We start from the raw sequence: 20,279 nt of genomic DNA, 5'->3' as shown, positions 1-20,279 counted from the left end.
CTGGGCATCAAGAAGAAATTCTTTATGTTCTCATGGTTCTGAAGAGGAGGATCATGGGCTGTTGGCAAGTATGAACCATGCTACTCAGAATGGCACGTAAAAGCTGAAGGGAATGCCAGCATTTTGGGAGGCTGAGGCAGGTGAATTGGTTGAGCCTAGGAGTTTGAAACCAGCCTGGGCAACATGGCAAAACCTCATCTCTACAAAAATTACAAAAAGTTAGCCAGGCGTGGTGGTGCACACTTGTGGTCCCAGCTACTCAGGAGGCTGAGGCACGAGAATCACTTGAATCCAGGAGGTAGAGGCTGCAGTGAGCCGAGATCGCATCACTGCACTCCAGCCTGGGTGACAGAGCCAGACCCTGTCTCAAAAAATAATAATAAAATAAAATAAAAGCCAAGGAGACACATTTCAGTCAGATAATCAGCATCTCAAGCTGGTCAACTTCAATCCAGACCAGTGAAGGGATGGGGACAGGGGTAGAGGTTAAATTATGTTTCCCCCAAATTCTTATGTTGAAGCCCTAACCCCTAGTACCTCAGAATGAGATGTATTTGAAGACAGAGCCTTTAAAGAGGTGATTAGGTTAAATGAGGCCAGTGGGGTGAGCCCTAATCGAAGCTAACTTGTGTCTTTGTAAGAAGAGGAAATGTGGACATGGAAGGGGTAGCAGGGATGGGAGCACACAAAGGTAAGACCACATGAGGACAGAGTGAGAAGGTGCCATCTACAAGACAAGGACAGAGGCCTCACCAGAACCCAGCCCTGCCTGCACCTTCCTCTTGGACTTCCAGCCTCCAGAACTGTCAGGAAATAAATGTCTGCTGTTGACACCGCTCGGTCTGTGGTACTTCATTATGGCAGCCTTGGCAAACTGGGGATAGCCAGTTAACGACCCTGGGTCAGCAGGACTCTTCTTTTAACGAAATTTAAACTCGGAGAGCTTTATCTGATCCCCCGTGGTCCATGAAAGACTGTACATGATTCGCAGTAGTGACAGGAAACGCAGGCAGAGATGCCTTCTACCTGCAGTGAATTCCAAAGCACTTCTCAGCTTTTATTCTCGAGCTTCTCCCATACCAAACCTCCATAATTTGCTAAAACTTGGTGACTGAGAGACTGATTTGAAATCCCCTTTTCACCTGGGACTCCTTGATGGTCCAAATAGATGAAGGGCAGGTGGCAGAAAGGACACAGGAAATGAGAAGCTTGGAAAAGGCACTGCTTGGTTAATCAGCCCCTTATAGATAGTGCTGAGTTCGTAGTACCTAACAAGATGTAACGGAAGCTTATTGCATAGGAAAAAGGAGCTGACGGATTATTAGCCTGACACTCTCCATTTGCTAAACGTACAGAACAGATTCATTACCTTTGTCCCCCCGCCCCTTAACAGTATGGGTTTGATTGCCCTCTTGCCTACAGGTAATTCTCCATCAAAATTAAATCCGTCCGCTAGTTCTCAATTTTATAAACTATGCAGGCACAGGGAGAGAGGAGGTCGGGCGGAGGCTCGTGCTGGGTGGGAGGAAGGTTACCTTTCCCAGGGCCACAACGCCAATCCAAAATTCTTCTACTCCTAGAGCTCTGAAGATGCCTGTATTCACGGTCCCATAGTGACACCAGCTGGTCAGATTCCAAAAAACAGCTTAGATGGAGAGGAAATGGCTCAGCCCCCTGCACCGTGCTCAGATGATAAATATACAGCCCTGGCCTCTTGACACTCTGCCTGTTCCAGTTTAAATGACATATGCCATATAAGGCATAAATACATTTATAGAATAAATACACAATACAAAAATGTGTAGATACTTTGGCTGTTACAAGCTCCTCTTCTCTTCCCCAAAAGATCAATGACACTGTTGATGCTTAATTGTCAACCACCATTTTCCTCCCTAGCAATTACACACCCAGTCCTATGAGCTGGCGCAGACTAAATCAGGGGAGGTCCTTGCCAGTTTACCAAGGTAGGGAAGGTTCGCCATTGGGAGAGAGAATGAGGCCTGATGTTCAGTTTGTATGTGACAGATGGAGAAGACGGATTGTGAAGACCAAAAACACCTCTAGATTTGTCCATTTCAGAGCTGCTGGAGCTCCAGAGTCTCTCTCCTGTGAAGACTTCTTCCCCAAAATGCGGCCTTGGCGATGTATTCACGAAATATTCATTTTGGCTCCTGATTTTTTATTCGTCATCTTGTAGTCTTTTTCTTTTCCTTTCAGGAAAAGGCTTCTTCAAATTGTATAAGCTTCAGACTTTGAAAAGCTGGGATCCATACCTGCAATAATGTATATACTAGATGTACTGGTACAAACGTTGGATACCTACTATATCCTCAGCACTGTGCTGGGTGCCGGGACATGTGCAGGAAAGGAGCAGGAAGCTTCCTACTCGATCAGTTAACCACACCAGCACATAAAATAACTAGCCAGCGTTGCAATGCAATATGTAATCAAAGACTAAATTGTGTAATCCAAATTATGTGCACAGTAGCCTGGAAATTCACAGGGGGAAATAGAGGTTATTAAAGGATGTGAAGCAATTCTGGAATGCTTCACTGAAGAAGTTTTAAGTGGAGCCAGAAAAGTATGGGAGAAAGGAAAAAGAAGTAACTAATCAAGGGGGAGAAGGGGGAGTGAAAGCCTCGAGGTGGAAATGAGGTTGTTTTGTTTTGTTTTGTTTTGTTTTTTTGAGACAGAGTCTCACTCTGTTGCCCAAACTGGAGTGCAGTGGCATGATCTTGGCTCACCTCCACCTCCTGGGTTCAAGCAATTCTCCTGCCTCAGCCTCCTGAGTAGCTGGGATTGCAGGCTAATTTTTGTATTTTTAGTAGAGGCAGGGTTTCATCATGTTGGTCAGGCTGGTCGCCAACTCCTGATCTCATGATCTCATGATCCACCCGCCTCGGCCTCCCAAAGTGCTGGGATTACAGGTGTGAGCTACCACACCTGGCCAAGGGAATTCGGTCATTTTTAGTGAGGAAGAATGAGAGCAGCTTGACAGAACCAAGCTGCACATTGGAAAGTAGTGGGAGACATTGGACTGAATGAGATGGGAATCCAGCTACCAAGGACAAGGACAGCCCCTCAAGAATTTTGACTTGACTTTGAGATCTCAAGTGAGAAAAACCACACAAAGGTAACTCTGCTGGCATTTTACACAATGATTACGCACATTTTTCTAATAACTTGCTGGAAATAGAATGAGCATTGCAGCACCATCGGACAGGTGCCTTACTCATTGGAGATGTCTGGACAGTGCTGTGATCATCCTCGCCAGCTGCAGCAATAGCACCCTGGGTCCTGCAGCCAGAAAGAAGGATCTGATCATCACCTCGTCCTCATGCTGTGCTGAGGAGCCTTGGTGCACAACTATTGGCTCGTTTTGGGCAGGACAGGTAAGTCCCAGCTGCAGAGCTTATGACACACAATTTTTACCTAAACTTCTAACTTTTATCCACGATACCTACTCCCCTTTCACTGCCTTCCTAACTTCTTGGCTCTTAGAATGTCCCAGCTTCATGCTCTTTTTAAATACCTGTATAAGAAATCATGTCTTTAAATAAGTAGAGGGTGCTTTTCGTGTTACCATGTAAAGGTTTTGAAATAGCCCCTGAAAAAGACATAAATATCTCTCTTAGCAGCCTATCAAAATGCCAGACTTCTCGGCATTTCGTGTCATTTCCTGTGGATTAACCCAATATCAATGTCAAGCTTCTTGAAGACAGAAATGATGCCATTTCCTAGCATTTCCCAATGCCTCGAATTTGCCTAGCAGGTAGGAGTTGCTCCATAAATGTTTGTCGGATGGACCGATAGATGGATGGATGGGTGAGTGGGTGGGTGGGTGGATGGATGGATCTTTGGTTGGATACATTTAAAGTAAAATGAAACATCCTGGCTAACACGGTGAAACCCCATCTCTACTAAAAATACAAAAAATTAGCCGGGTGTGGTGGCACGCGCCTGTAGTCCAAGCTACTCGGGAGGCTGAGGCAAGAGAATTGCTTGAACCTGGGAGGCAGAGGTTGCAGTGAGCCAAGATTGCACCATTGCACTCCAGCCTGGGCGACACAGGAAGACTCTGCCTCAAAAAAAAAAAAAAAAAAAGTATAATGAGAAACTGGAACTATGTATGTGTTGGTTCTGATAGGCGTGGACCCATCCCATTGTCATTGTTGTCAGGATCTGGATCAGCAAGACATTGGCCAACTGGGACAAAGAGAAGAATAAGACTCAAAAACTGATGGGAAGAACCAAATACTACTGAAGACCAACTTCACTGCTCAAAGTGGCCTGGTGCCAGTCCTTTTCAGGAATTAAATGAAACTGCAGCTTCACTGAACCACCTCACAATTCCATTTGCAGACAGGAATGCCCCAGCAGATCCCAACAGGATGCTCACCCCATGGAGGGACAGAGTGGGTTGATCCAGCCCACTAATAATGCTAACATTTCTACAGCGCTTTCTTAGGTGCCAGGCTCTGTTCTAAGTGCTCTACTTACATTAACTCCTTTAGCCCTCATGACTAACTTTACAGGTGTGTAGTACTATTTTAGAAATAGTCCATTTTACAGTTGAAACGCTGGAACACAGAGATGTGAAGTAGCTTCATCCAGGCTACACTCCTAGTATGTGGTAGGGAAGGGAATGCCACAGGGAGCCTGGGCTTTGATACCAGGCTTTTCCCCATCTGCCATGCTGCTCTTGGGTCCCAGCTAAGGGTAGAACAAAGATAGAGGGCCTCGGGCCAGGCGCAGTGGCTCATGCCTATAATCCCAGCACTTTGGGAGGCTGAGGTGGGCAGACCACGAGGTCAGGAGTTCCAGACCAGCCTGGCCAATATAGTGAAACCCCGTCTCTACTAAAAATACAAAAAAATTAGCCAGGCATGGTGGCGGGCACCTGTAGTCCCAGTTACTCAGGAGGCTGAGGCAGGAGAATCGCTTGAACCCTAGAGGCGGAGGTTGCAGTGGGCCGAGATCGTGCCACTGACTCCAGCCTGGGTGACAGAGTGAGATTCCATCTCAAAAAAAAGAAAAAAAAAAAAGATAGAGGGCCTCAAGTACACAAAATCACTGCACATCCAACCACACCTGAAGCCAACTATAGCCAAGAATCACCAGGTAAATGTATTTTTCCAACACCTACACATAAGCTACATTCTCAAAGAGTATTTTATAATGATTCCTTCAAACAGGTAATATTAGTAGTTGGTAGTCAGTGCAAGTTTGGAACTAAGCTTTCAGAAATGGGAATTTTTAAACCTTCCAGAGACAACAAGTATGATCATGAGCCCAAATAAAGAGCATGACTTCCATAGTTCATGAGTAAATTTTAATTGTACAATATAAGATAGAGACTGCAGCACAGTGTAGATGAGGTGGATTCTCAGACAATGTTAAGACATAAAAGACTCCTTTTAGAGAGGTGCACAGCTATGCCAGTTAGCCTAGGCCCTGTGTAAACTAATAATACAAGAAAATTAACCATTCAGTAGTGTGGTCATAAGAAAATATAGTTGAGTTGATCTTAGTCCAGACCTCCTCCTTCACTGGCTTAACAGAGGAAGGCCTTTTGGTAGGAATTTTGACAAGGTGCTGATAGTATCTTAACCCTGTGTTTTGCTTTTTTTTTTTTTTTTTGGAGACAGAGTCTCATTTTGTCACCCAAGCTGTAGTGCAGTGGCGTGATCTTAGTTCACTGCAGCCTTGACAACCCAGGCTCAGGTGATCCTCCCACCTCAGCCTTTCAAGCAGCTGGGACTATAGGTGTGCATCACCACACCCAGCTAATTTTTGTATTTTTTGTAGAGACGGGGTTTTCTATGTTGCCCAAGCTGATCTTGAACTCCCGGTCTCAAGGGATCCTTCCACATCAGCCTCCCAAAGTGCTGGGATTACAGGTGTGAGCTACTGCACCAGGCCCACTGTCCTAACATTATGGGAGAGTCTGTGATTCAAGTAGATGAATGCAGGAACAGGAGGTTGACAGGTAGGGGAAAGAAAAATGGAGAGTATCATGCTCATACCCTGAGAAGGGTAGAGAGGGGATTGGGGAAAATTGTTGGGATCATTGGATTCATTAGATCCCAAGAAACAGTCTAAAACCTCCTAGTATATTTTTTAAAAGATGGGATCTCCCTCTGTTGCCCAGGCTGGCCTTGAACTCCTGGGCTCTAGTGATCCTCTCGCCTCTGCCTCCCAAGTAGCTGGAATTACAGGCATACACCACCATGCATGCCCTAAAACCTCCTAGTATCCTGAGGAAGAAACCAGATGACTAAGTTCTTGGTTTTTTAGATCCGGGGGGACATGTGCATGTTCGTAACACGAGTATATTTCGGGATGCTGAGGTTTGGGGTATGACTGATCTCATCATCCAGGTAGTGAGCATAGTTCCCTATAGGTAGTTTTTCAATCCTTGCCCTCCCCCTTCCCCTTTTTGGAATCTCCAGTGTTTATTGTTCTCATCTATGTGTTTGTGTATACCAAATGTTTAGCTCCTACTTATAAGTAAGAACATGTGGTATATGGTTTTCTGTTTCTGCATTGGTTCACCTAGGATAATGGCCTCCAGCTACATCCATGTTGCCGCAAAGGACATGATTTCATTCTTGTTTATGGCTATGTAGTATTCCATACTGTCTATGTACCACATTTCCTTTCTCCAGTCCACCATTGATGGACACCTGGATTGATTCTATGTCTTTGCTATTGTGAATAGCACTATGATAAACACACACGTGCAGGTCTCTTTTGGGGTACATATATTTACCTTTGGGTATATACCCAGTAATGGGATTGCTGGGTTGAATGGTAATTCTAGCTTTAGAAAGAATTCTCCATACTGCTTCCCACAAAGGCTGAACTAATTTATATTCCCACAAGGAGTGTATAAGCATTCCCTTTTCTCTGTAACCTCACCAGCATCTGGTATTTTCTGACTTTTTAATAATAGCCATTCTGACTGGTGTGAGATAGTATCTCCTGGTAGTCTTGATTTGAATCTCTCTGATGATTACTGGTGTTAAACATTTTTCATATGTTTTTGGTCACTTGTAGGCAATCAAGTATTAAATGAGATAAATGAGGCATGCAGGAAATTATTTATTTCTTAATTAAAGGTAAACTTGCTTTTAAAGGTAAAGAAAATATATTGGTAAAGGAAGAATGGAGGGGATGATTAAAACTGAAAAAGTCTTAAAAATTTAAAGGGCTGTCAGGTGCAGTGGCTCACACCTGTACTCCCAGCACTTTGGGAGGCTTAGGTGGGAGATCGCTTAAGCCAGGAGTTTGAGACCAGCTTGGGCAACATAGCGAGACACTGTCTCTGGAAAAAGATACAAAAATTATCCAGCCATGGTGGCATGTGCTTATGATCCCAGCTACTCAGGAAGGGGGTGAAGTGTGAGGATGGCTTGAGCCCAGGAGGTAGAGGTTGCAGTGAGCCAAGATTGCACCACCGCACTCCAGCCTGGCCATCAAAGCAAGACTCTGTCTCAAAAAATATAAATAAATAAAATAAAATAAAAAATTTAAGCGCATTGGCATGTTGTATTACCATCAAAACACAACTAATTATTGAATAATTTAAGAATTTATTTTCTCATGTGTGGAGTGACCAAGCTCTTCTTTGTAACTACTGCCTACAACAAAGATTTCCTGCTCACTATCTGTATCAGCCACAGGTCAGCAGTGGTTCTGATCTGTGTGCCTTCTTTCAAATACAGGTTGAAGAACCCCCACCTCAACCCCCATGTGGGGGCATAATGATCTTGTGGCAGAGAAAAAAGGGTTAAGGCCAAACCACCCAACAGCTCTTCAAGCTTCTTCTCACATTTCCTCAGCCACAGTAAGTCAAATACCCACCCCTGACATAAGTAGGGCAGAAAAGTATAACCCTCAGTTAGGGATGCACTGCAAGCCACATGGCTGGAGACAGGGATATATCATCTTCTTACAAGGGAAGGCAGAAAACAAGTAGGAACAGTAATACAATCTACCCTTTCACTATATGCTCACTCTCTCACATATCTTGTACAAAGTAGATGCTCAATAAATGATTTGAACTAATATGTGAATGACTTAAGGTTGACCATGACCTCACAAATGTAGATTGATTCATCTTCTCTGGTGCAGAGTTTTATCCCTTGGTATGTTACTCAGTAACTTTCCCTTTTCTTCCATAAATGTCCTACTAAGAACGAATCTCACAAGCATAATGTTAAGCAAAGGAAGCCACATGCAAAAAAGTACTTACTAACAGAGGAGTGGATAAAGAAATTGTGATGTGTCCAAACAACAGAATGCTAAAGAGCGATAAAAAAAAAAAAAAACTACTGATACACAAAATAGCATGGGTACATCTCAAAATAATTATAGGGAGTGAAAGACCAAAAAAAGAGTACATTCCTTATGATTCCACTTCCATCAAATTCTAGAAAATGCAAACTGATTTATGGTGACAGAAGCAGATCAGTGGTGGCCTGGGGAGAGTAGAGGAGGGGCAGGGAGAGGGTAGATAAGGAAACTTTGGGAGTGATGGATATGTTCATTATCTTGATTGTGGTGATGGTTTCATGGGTGTATTCATATGTCAAAACTCATCAAATTGTATCCTCTAAATATATGGAATGTATTGTACAACATCATGCCTGAACAAAGCTTCAAAAATAAATGCTTTAAAAAGGCTACTTACCATATGACTTTGTTTATATAAAGTTTTAGCAACAGGTAAAACCAATCTATGGTATTTGAAGTCAAGGTGGTGGTTACTTTTCAGATCAGTAACTGGAAGGATTAGAAAGGGGTGCATGAGAGGGCGCTTTTTGATCTGGGTGCTGGTTACGCAGGTGTGTTCTATTTGTGAAATGTTGATCTGTATGTTTACAATTGACACACTTTTCTGTGTGCAAGTTGCGCAGCAAAAAAAAACTGTTTAAATGTGCCATTTTTTTAAAAGATGGAATTTCACTCTTGTTGCCCAGGCTGGAGTGCAGTGGCGCAATCTCAGCTCACCGCAAGTGAGCTCCTGGGTTCAAGTGATTCTCCTGCCTCAGCCTCCTTAGTAGCTGGGATTACAGGTACCCACCACCATGCCCGGCTAATTTTGTATTTTCAGGAGAGACAGGGTTTCTGCAAGTTGGTCAGGCTGGTCTTGAACTCCCGATCTCAGGCAATCCACCTGCCTCAGCCTCCCAAAGTGCTGGGATTACAGGCATCAGCCACCGCGCCTGGCCAAATGTGCTATTTTCTTTAAAATATCAACCATCTTAAAAAATAACAAAGACCTTCCTCATAAATTATTTATGATGACAGAAAACTAATAGTTGTGTGATCACATTCATTTAGTATCTGCTTTTGAATTCAAAGGCTATGAGTGGATGTGTTCCTGCCAGTGTCCATGACAGAGGACAGACCACAGGGCTTGTCAGTCATAGACACCAGGACTGAGCAGTTGCAGGGACAGGTGGAGGAATGCATCAACTACTGACCAGGGTGCCAGTGTTTGTCTCCAGATATGTGCCAATTCTGATGCTTCTGTTCTCTCTTGTGCCCTTAGTCGGAATTACTGCTGCCAGCACTCTCTTCTTGCACGGCGGCATATGGGAAGCTACATATATGGACAAATGGCACGTGTGCTCATAAAACAACTGAAAAAGCAGGCAAGCTATGTCAAAGTCCCACAGTTGGGATTACACTGTTGCAGACAGCTGACCTAAGATAAGAAATGAAAATTCCTAGACACTTTTATGAGCCCATCATTTTTACCATTTAATATATTAAAAGAAAGAAAACCCTGTTCCTACTGATTGATTACTTTAATGAATAAATGTACGGTCAATGATTTGGTGGTTGGAATGGATTAAATTTCCCTTGCTGGCAAGAATGGCCCTAAATAAAAATGAATGAAAGGTTTATCTTTTTCAACAACCTCCCCTTATCTCCCCCAAAAAAAGATAGAAAATCAGTCTGAATTTCAAATGACTTTGGTCTTTGTGTTTGTTTTATAAACTATTACCTGGCCCCTGTCAATGTCCCTGTGGAGTAAAAACAAATTACAGTGTCTCAAATTGTGTGCTCAAGTAATTTTAAAAGAAAAATTTTTCAAAATGTCATTGATCTGTTGTAGAAACTACTACTCTGTTTTCATGCAGAAAGCTTTAAGATTCCCCACTGGACCCCATCTAATAAGAAAAAAATGAAAATAACCATAACTACCTAGGCCCATCATTTAAAACGTGAAAAAAGACAAAAATAAAGAACTGAAAAATATAATTCCACATCAACAATCCACTGTCTACCAGGTGCTGTGCTACGGACTACATAGATAAGTGAAAAACAGATTTTGGGCCGGGCACACTGACTAACACTTGTAATCCCAGCACTTTGGGAGGCTGAGGCAGGTGGATCACCTAAGGTCAGGAGTTCCAGACCAGCCTGGCCAACATGGTGAAACTCTGTCTCTACCAAAAATACAAAAATTAGCGGGGCTTGGTTGCAGGTGCCTGTAATCCCAGCTACTTGGGAGGCTGAGGCAGGAGAAACGCTTGAACCCAGAGGTGCAGGTTGCAGCGAGCTGAGATTGCACCACAGCACTCCAGCCTGGACAAGAGCAAAACTCCGTCTCAAAAGAAAAATCAACAGATTTTGTTACCTGGAAGTGGGCTGCTGTTCTAGTAAGATCCTAGAATATATACTAGTGGCTTAATGTTCCAGTGGTCGGTAGAAGTCCTAAGGACCATGAAGAGACCATTAGTAGAATTGAATATGGCCTCTAAAAGGTTGTAATAGAGGGCTCATAAAAAAGTTAAGAAAATGTTACCAGAAGCTAGAGGAAGGAAAGGGGATCCTTGTTATTTAGTAGCAAAAAATATAATAACACTGTTGCCTGTGTGTCTTAGTCCATTTTGTGCTGCTGTAAAGGAATACCTGAGAGTAGGTCATTTATAAAGAAAAATGTTTCGGCCAGGCACATTGGCTCACGCCTGTAATCCCAGCACTTTGGGAGGCCAAGGTGGGTGGATCACTTGAGGCCAGGAATTTGAGACCAGCCTGGCCAACATGGTGAAACCCCGTCTCTACTAAAAATACACACACACACACAAAATTAGCTGGGCATGGTAGCGTACGCCTGCAATCCCAGCTACTTGTGAGGCTGAGGCAGGAGAATCGCTTGAACCCGGGAGGCGGAGGCTGCAGTGTGTTGAGACTGCACCACTGCACTCCAGCCTGGGCGACAGATACTCTCAAAAAAAAATGTTTTATTTGGCTCACGATTCTGCAAGGGATACAAGAAGCATGATGCCAGCATTTGCCTCTGGTGAGGGGCTCAAGCTGTTCCACTGGTGGCAGAAGGTGAAGGAAAGCCAGTGTGGGCAGCAGGCACATGGCGAGAGAATGAGCGAGAGAGAAAGAGGGAGGTGCCAGCCTTTTTTTAACAACCAGCTCTCTCAGTACCTGACAGAGTGAGAACTCACTCACCTCCAAGGAAGGGCATTCATCTATTCATGAGGGATCTGCCCCATGACCCAGTCACCGCTGTTGAGGCCCCACCTTCAACCCTGGGGGTCGAATTTCAACGTGAGATTCAGAGGAGAGAAATATCTAAACTACAGCACTATGAGAACATGGAAATAGAAAATGTCATTGGGTGACAAGCCCTGTGACTCATGCTTGTAATCCTAGCACTTTGGGAGGCTGAAGTGAGAGGCTCACTTGAGCCCAGGAGTTCAAAATCAGCTTGGACAATATGGTGAGAGACCTAATCTCTATAAAAAATAGAAAAATTCGCCAGCTGTGGTTGCACACCCCAGTAGTCCTGGCTACTCAGGAGGCTGAGGTGAGAGAATCGCTTGAGCCTGGGAAGTGGAGGTTGCAGTGAGCTGAGATCATGCCACTGCACTCCAGCCTGGGCAACAGAGAAAGACTCTGTCTCAAAAATATAAAGAAAAGAAAAGAAAACGTTATTCTGAAAGGGATAATCTAACTGATATGGTTTGGACTTGTGTCTCCACCCAAATCTCATGTCAAATTGTTATCCCCAGTGCTGGAGGTGGGGCCTGGTGGGAGGTAATTAGATTATGAGGGCGGACTTCCCCCTTGCTGTTCTGATGATAGTGAATAAATTCTCACAAGATCTAGTTGTTTAAAAGTGTGTAGCTCTTCCCCCTTCTCTCTCTCTTCCTCCTGGTCCAGCCAGGTAGGACGTGCCTGCTTCCCCTTCCCCTTCTACCATGATTGTAAGTTTCCTGAGGCCTCCTCAGCCATGCTTCCTACACAGCCTGCAGAACCATGAGCCAATTAAACCTCTTTTTCTTCATAAATTATCCAGTCTCAGGTAGTTCTTTATAGCAACATAAGAATGAACTAATACATCAGCTAAGGAGATTTCCAAGCAAAGTGGTGAAGGTGCTGCCTGGCTCTGTTTGCCACTACAGTAAAATGTAAGTAGAGAAACAAACTAAACTAAATAAAGTAAAGAAAGAATTGTTAATATAAAGGAACTAGGTCTTGCTAGGTTTAAAAATAAAACTGTTTTCCTTCCCTGGCTTTCCAGATAGCAAACAATACAAAAAATACAAAAAGTAAGAAACGCCTTCCAGACTTACCCTCCCCTACACACACACAAAAAAAAATAAAAATAAAAAATAAATAAAATAAATTCCAGAGCACTATCAGGAAAGCATGAACTAAAGATGAAGCCAAGGATGTGACTGTCAAACCATGTGTTATGGTCTCAGAAGGCATTGCCCCTTCCAAACAGAAAAAAAGTCCCCGTAAATGAGTCTTCACGTCATTGTCCCTCAGCTGCCTTACAGGGAGTCTAAGCTAGAGATATTTGGGAAGAGATTTCTGGCTTTTCTAATGGAATGAATTACAAATTGATTCACACAATAAAATACAACACTTTCAAAGGAATTCCATTACTTGAAATAAAAGGGATAGATAGTTAAAAAAAATAAAATGAAGCTTTTAAAACCTCAAATTTCTGTGAGTAGGAAACAGAGTGAGAAAATTGCTCAAGTGCATGCAGGGGCCACATTTTATGAAAAAAAAAAAAAAAAAAAGGATTTCAGAGGATGGAGCCAAGAGCCACAGTGAATCCTAAGGCCTAGTGTCCAACCTAGACATTAGGCTTGAGCCCTAATCACGGAACTGGCAACACATGCTGAATTTCAGAGTTGTGTGCCTATAACTGCTGTGTGCCCTTACCCTTTTCTTCTTTTCACATTTTAGAAAACAGTTCTATTGACATAATTGACATACAAAAATACAGTACTTAAATTGGACAATTGGATATGGGGCAACTGTGAAATCGTCATCGCAATCAAGATAATGTACATGTCTCCCTCATAGTGTGCTGTCAACACGTCTTAGTCACAAAGACATCCTTTCACACGGCAGCCATCATTTTTGTCTTGCTAGTAAGCCGAAGGAAGCCTCACCATCCTTTCCAAGTGATCCAGATCCACTATCTGTCCAACTGGATGAAGTCTCCTCACCATACCCCAAAACCTGCAACTGCAGAACCCCACACCTGCCCACTCCCCTGCCAGAGAAGTACTTTCCTGTGAGTCTAACACTGAGATAAGGTAACACCTCCCTCACATCTCTGCATCCAGGTGAAAGGTGAGTTTCAGCCCATAGATTTTACAGTGCCTTCAAATCAGACAGCTACTTTGGAAAGAATGTCGTTAAGACCTTACCTCCGTGGTGAGGAAGCTTAAAGCCCCATAATGACTAAAGTTCACTTTAGTTCTCTCTCTCTCTCTTTTTTTTTTTCTTGAGACGGAGTCTCACTCTGTTGCCCAGGCTGGCGTGCAGTGGTGTGATCTTGGCTCACTGCAACTGCCACCTCCCAGGTTCTAGCGATTCTTCTACCTCAGCCTCCCGAGTAGCTGGGACCACAGGCGTGTGCCACCACACCCGACTAATTTTTGTATTTTTGGTAGAGACCATGTTGGCTATGTTGGCTAGGCTGGTCTTGAACTCCTGACCTCAGGTGATCCACCCGCCTCAACCTCCCAAAGTGCTGGGATTACAGCCGTGAGCCACCACATCCAGCCAGTTCTCTCTTTCACCAGCGCATTACAAGGACATTTCCTTCCCTCAAAGAAGTCTTAATTCAAAAATTATCTATCCTCCACTTCCTTGGTTTTCACCCAACCTGACCCAGCCTTTAGTCTTTGGGGAGGTGAGATGGGGCGAGGGGAGGAGGCAGATTTCAGTTACTTTCTGCTGTTGCTCTAGACAGGAGTTTCCCTGAAAATGGAGATCTTAGGATTTCAACTGAGGGCTAGATAAAAAACCAAGTTAGAAACGTTTCCTGAAGGAAAAAAAGTAAGATGGCTAAGGTTGGATTACATGTAAACCCTCTAAACTTAGATACTTCTTTTAAGGGGGTCCCTTCACTCTTTTTGAACAGGAGTATCTATAGTGGCCATTCTATGCCTATCCCACCATTGCATGTTGAGAAAGTGAGACCCAGATAATGCGTCACTCTAGTTACTGGTCTTCCAATCAAAAGGAACAGTTCTCAAGGAGTTGTTTGAGAGGAACAATATTTGAAGAACCTCATCCTCACTTGGACCTGATTTAGGTGCTGGGATTCTAGACCTTGAGTCACAGCCAGAAGTCCAAATGGGATGAAGCTTTAGGGCAAATGTATTTTGAATGTGTGAGGGATATGCATTGTTGTGGCCAGAAGGTAGATGGTAGCAGATTGCATTTTTCAAAAATGGCTGCAACAATAATTGTAGTCCCGTGTGCCCTTCCAGAATCTTGCCACCACTCTTTCTTTTTCATTTTCATTTTCTTTTTTTTTTTTTGAGATGGAGTTTCACTCTCGTCGCCCAGGCTGGAGTGCAATGGCACGATCTCGGCTCGCTGCAACCTCTGCCTCCTGGGTTCAAGCAAGTCTCCTGCTTGAGAGTATCTGGGATTACAGGCACCTGTCACCACGCCCGGCTAATTTTGTATTTTTAATAGAGATGGGGTTTCACCATGTTGGTCAGGCTGGTCTGGAACTCCTGACCTCAAGTGATTCACCCACCTCGGCCTCCCAAAGTGCTGGGATTACAGGCGTGAGCCACTGCGCCTGGCCGCCACCACTCTTTCAAGAGGTAGAATCTATTCCCTTTCTTTTTAAATTCGGGCAGCCTCGGTGAACAGCATGTGATAGAAATGACACTGTAAGACTTCCACTTCTGGGTAATTTTACAAATAAATTTTGCAAAATGTCATTGATCTGTATGAAAACGGCAACTTTTTTCTCTTGCATAAAGCTTACAGATTCCCCCAGTAATCCGCACCAGAAGAAAGAAAAAATCAAAACCATACAACCATGATTGAAATGTGAAAAAGACAAAAATCAAAAATTAAAAGTTCAGGCCTAGCATGGTGGCTCACACCTATAACCCCAGCACTTTGGGAGGCCAAGGCAGGAGGATCACTTGAGCCCAGGGGTTCAAGACCAGCCTGGGCAACATAGTGAGAGTTCATATCTACAAAAAAAAATTAAAAATTAGCCAGACACAGTGGCATGCACCTGTAGTCCCAGCTACCTGAGAGGCCAGGTGGGAGGATTACTTGAGGCCAGAAGGTCGAGGCTGCAGTGAGCCGTGATGGCACCACTGCACTCTAGCCTGAGGGACAGAGCAAGACCCTGTCTCAAAAAAGAAAAAATTAAAAGTTCAGGTTAACTTTGGATATCTACCATTTATCTGGCACTGTTATAAGACCAGATATACACAGGTAAATAACAATCTCTATCCTCATGTAGTTCACTGACAGGCAAAGATGACATGATATAAGCCATTAATATAACATAATATAAGATGTGCTGGAGGCTGGGCATGGTGGCTCACACCTGTAATCCCAGCACTTTGGGAGGCCGAGGCGGGTGGACCACCTGAGTTCAGGAGTCCAAGACCAGCCTGGCCAACATGATGAAACCCCGTCTCTACTTAAAACACACAAAAAATAACTGGACATGGTAGTGCATGCCTGTAATCCCAGCTCCTCAGGGGGCTGAGGCAAGAGAATCACTTGAACCCAGGAGGCAGAGGTTGCAGTGAGCCAAGATCGTGCCATTGCACTCCAGCCTGGACAACAGAATAAGACTCCGTCTGAAAAAAAAAAAATGTGCTGGAAAAGATGGCTGCAAACAACGCTTTAAACAAGAAATAGGAGAGTGAATAGTTCTATCATGGAGAAGACAAAAAAGTAGTTACAGAGTTTATACTGAGATGAGTGTTGAAGAATAAATAAGATTTTGCCAGGTGGACAAAAACATTCAAATAAAACCTTTGACATAATCAGGACTAGATTTAGCTATATATGTGGCAGAAAAAACACACACACGCACACACACAAAACTAAATGGCATAAGCAAAACAAATTTTATTTCTTGGTTACGTAGAAAAAGCTTGCCCGACCTACGGCCCCGAGGATGCATTGGGACAGCATTACACGTGGCTCAAATCAAATTCGTAAACTTTCTTAAAACTTATGAGTTTTTTTGCAATTTCTTTTTCTTTTTTTTTTTTCTTTTAGACGGCGTCTCGCTCTGTCGCCCAGGCTGGAGTGCAGTGACGCGATCTCGGCTCACTGCAAGCTCCACCTCCCGGGTTCACGCCATTCTCTTGCCTCAGCCTCCCAAGTAGCTGGGACTACAGGCGCCCGCCCGTTACCACACCTGGCTAACTTTTTGTATTTTTAGTAGAGACGGGGTTTCACTGTATTAGCCAGGAAGGTCTCGATCTCCTGACGTCATGATCCGCCCACCGCGGCCCCCCAAAGTGCTGGTATTACAGGCATGAGCCACCACGCCCGGCCGCAATTTCTTTTTTTTTTTTTTTAGCTCATCAGCTATTGTTAGTGTTCATGTATTTTATATGTGGCCCAGGACAATCCTTCTTCCAGTGTGACCCAGGGAAGCCAGAAGATTGACATGGAGGCATCTGGCACGTGATCGAGATTGGCATATGTCATCATATCACCCAGGCCCATCCAACCTTTAGTCTTTGGGGAGCAGGGACAGGGGTGAGGAGGGGAGCTAGGTTTCAGTTGCTTTCTGCCCTTCCTGGGGGTTTTCCTAACAATAGAGGTTTTTGGATTCTCACTGAAGGCTAGGAAGAAAGTCATTTAGACACTTTTCTTGAAGAAAGCAAGATTTGGCAACTCTATAGTCATGAGTGAGCCGAGCTTCTTCTCTTGTTTTTCTGCCACATTCATGTATGGCTTCCTCCTCATCGTCCAAGATGGCTGTTGCAGCTCAAGCCATCACATCTGCTTTCCAGTCAGCAAAAGGAAGAAGGTCAGACAAGGGAGGGCTCATTCACATGACACTTTGGCCTAAATCCCACTAACCAGAACCGAGCCATATGCCTCACCTAGATGCATGGGAGTTGGGAAATGTAGTCTTTCTTGTGGACAGTCATGGGTCCATGTATCAATCAGGGGTTCCATTACTAGGCAAGAAGAAGAGAACAGGGGAGTTAGCTGTGCTGAGAACTCAGCCTGATCTGGATCTTCCAAGAGCAGCGGTGATGAAGCTTTAGCATCTGGCCTTGAACATCACAGGGGCCAAGTAGGATTGCAGTAGTATTGCTGGAGTAAATTCAGTTTTCTGCAGATAACCATAACCAGTACAATATTTTCCTGATAAAAGGGAAGTGCCTTTTCCCTTTTGCCCTCTTGGCCTAAAAAGGCACATGCAATGGAGGTACAGCAGCCATCTGTCAACCATGAGAACAAGAGCAACATGTTGGAATGACAGAGGCTGAAAACAGAAAGAGCCTGGGCTCTAAAGGCACAAAAGAGCAGCCAAGGACTGCCATGGACTGCCATCAATAGACTTCTTCTTGTGTGAAAAACCCCTTTGATGAAGCCAATATAGTTGAGTTTATTACGTAATCCGCCATTAGTATCACAATCCTAATCCTAAGTGATAGACCAGGCTGCCGTAATCCCACACCTGAACCCCGTGAATGGCTGGCAAATTCATTTCCCTGCAGCCATTCATTCTGCCCCACCATCCTTTCTTCACATGACTACCAGTATGATCTTTGAAAGTGTACAGCAAATTACATCATGTCCCTGCTTAAAGCTTCTGAAGGCTCCCCAGAGTATTTGAAATAAAACCCAAAGACCCCATCATGGCCCCTGATGTCCTGGTCCTTACACATCACTCTGACCTCATCCCCTATCTCTCCCCCTCTCTATTCACCAAGTTCTCTTCAACCCCTTTTCAATCAAAATCTGTTGTGCTTCAGAATCTTGTACTTGCTGCACCACAGAAACCTTCTCAGAGGTTCTTTCATGTCATTTAGGCCTCATTTCAAGTGCCACCTTTTTAGAGAGACCTTTCCTGAACCCACCTCCTGATATAAATCTCTTTTATTTTCTCAACAGCACTTATCACTACGGAATCATTTAAATTATTTACTGTTTGTTTATTTATTGCCTCTCTCCAGAAGACAAAGCCATGCTGTGTGTGGAGAAACTCACCCTTTCAAGAATAAAACTAAATGAAAATATTAATTCATTCTATTTCAGAGACCCCAGAAGCAAGCCATGCATGGGTAGGGGTGATATAACGAATAGTCGACGTTTTGAGTCATGTATTACTAAAAAATAAAGTCACTCCTTTCCCCTTAGTCTCTTCTCCCCAGATAGTGCAGCTGATAATTTACTTTAGCTGAGAACCTCATGAAGTCATTTCAAAGTTGGTCATTCATTGAGGGATTTACAGAGGTGGGTCGTAAAGAGATGTTTGCTCAGTAATGAGCCTTTCAAAAAAAAAATAGCTGCAGAACTGGGGGAGACAAATTTGAATGCATGGGGAGGATATTTTAAAAAACGGACCTACACTTCGTAGCATAAGAAGCAGACAATGGCCGGGTGCGGTGGCTCACGCCTGTAATCCCAGCACTTTGGGATGCCAAGGCAGACGGATCACGAGTTCAGGAGATCGAGACCATCCTGGCTAATACGGTGAAAACCCGTCTCTACTAAAAATGCAAAAAATTAGCCGGGCGAGGTGGCAGGCGCCTGTAGTCCCAGCTACTCAGGAGGCTGAGGCAGGAGAACGGCATGAACCCGGGAGGCAGAGCTTGCAGTGAGCCGAGATGGCACCACTGCACTCCAGCCTGGGTGACAGAGCGAGACTCCGTCTCAAAAAAAAAAAAATTATGCTACATCTACTCTTGTATGGACATACTATGTTTATTCATTATCAGATGATGGACATTGAGTGGTGTTCACTTTTTGGCTGACCCTTATATTGCCCATAAAATAGAATTTGGGGGACTTCAGGCATCATCCAATCCAGAAGCTTCTAAATTTGTTTTTAGCAGTGGCACTGTTCTTTAAAATAAATGTTCTCATTGCTGAAATTGGGTAATCAGTAATAAGGGTTCATTATGTTATTATCCCTACTTGTGTGTATATTAATTTTCCATAGTATTTTTAAAAGATTACATTGAAATTTAATATGTAAAGCAGATTGAATGTATGTAGTTTAAAACTGCAAAGTATTCTTCCAATATTTTGCATACTTGCAACGAATCATTTCCAAAGAATCTTGGCAGATGATCTCCAATTTCTTAAATACTTGCAATGACAAAGAGTACTCTAACTTTGAGGCAGTCACAGTTGGATAGCTCTGTCTGTGAGAAAATAATGTTTATATTGATCCAAAATATGCGCCTTATAACTTCGAGTGGGAATCAGACAATTCCTCCACCATGAAAGTATTTTTATCTTCTTTATTTTTATTTTATCTAGTGCCTTTTCAAAGAATGCCAAATAGCTGGCAGAGTTTGGTATTCTGTATCACACTAACATATGCTACACAGTCTGCTTGAGAGATGTTAAGGGCTACGTTCCCATCTTCTGGGTTAAAAAGATATGAGCAAAATATTTAAGCAAAATTAAGATACCTGCAGGCAAAATCTGACGAAGTGTTGCACATTGTGCTACATAATAGACTGAGATTTTTTTTTAATATCATGGTTCTCCCCAGTTTCACCTGCCTGTCAGCTCTACATCATTTGTTATTAATTTAACACCAGAGAACCTGGGAAAAGCTGCAAGCCAGTGAGCATACACAAATCAGGCACAGAGATGGCAAGTGCTCCTTGGAGATGCTTGTTCACAAACTTTAAGGGAATTTGAAAAATGCCCACCAATTTGCAGGATGCTTGATATGAAATCAAAGAAAGTAGAGAAACGCAAGTTACAACTGCCTGATTTGACTGCAGAAACTGACAGTAAGA

The 20,279-nt window shown here is 43.5% G+C and overlaps 1 annotated feature.

The window, feature by feature from the left end:
• Nucleotides 1,681-1,730: an enhancer, noted in NCBI's record as "active region_23958". NCBI's record gives its function as "activates an Ori minimal core promoter by ATAC-STARR-seq in GM12878 lymphoblastoid cells {active_cell/tissue: GM12878}" and the evidence as "EXISTENCE:reporter gene assay evidence [ECO:0000049][PMID:35858748]".

Source organism: Homo sapiens, chromosome 6, assembly GCF_000001405.40.
Source record: "Homo sapiens chromosome 6, GRCh38.p14 Primary Assembly".
Taxonomy (NCBI): Eukaryota; Metazoa; Chordata; class Mammalia; order Primates; family Hominidae; genus Homo; species Homo sapiens.
Note: the sequence above shows the minus strand (reverse complement) of the source record. Positions and strands in the feature narration are given on the sequence as shown.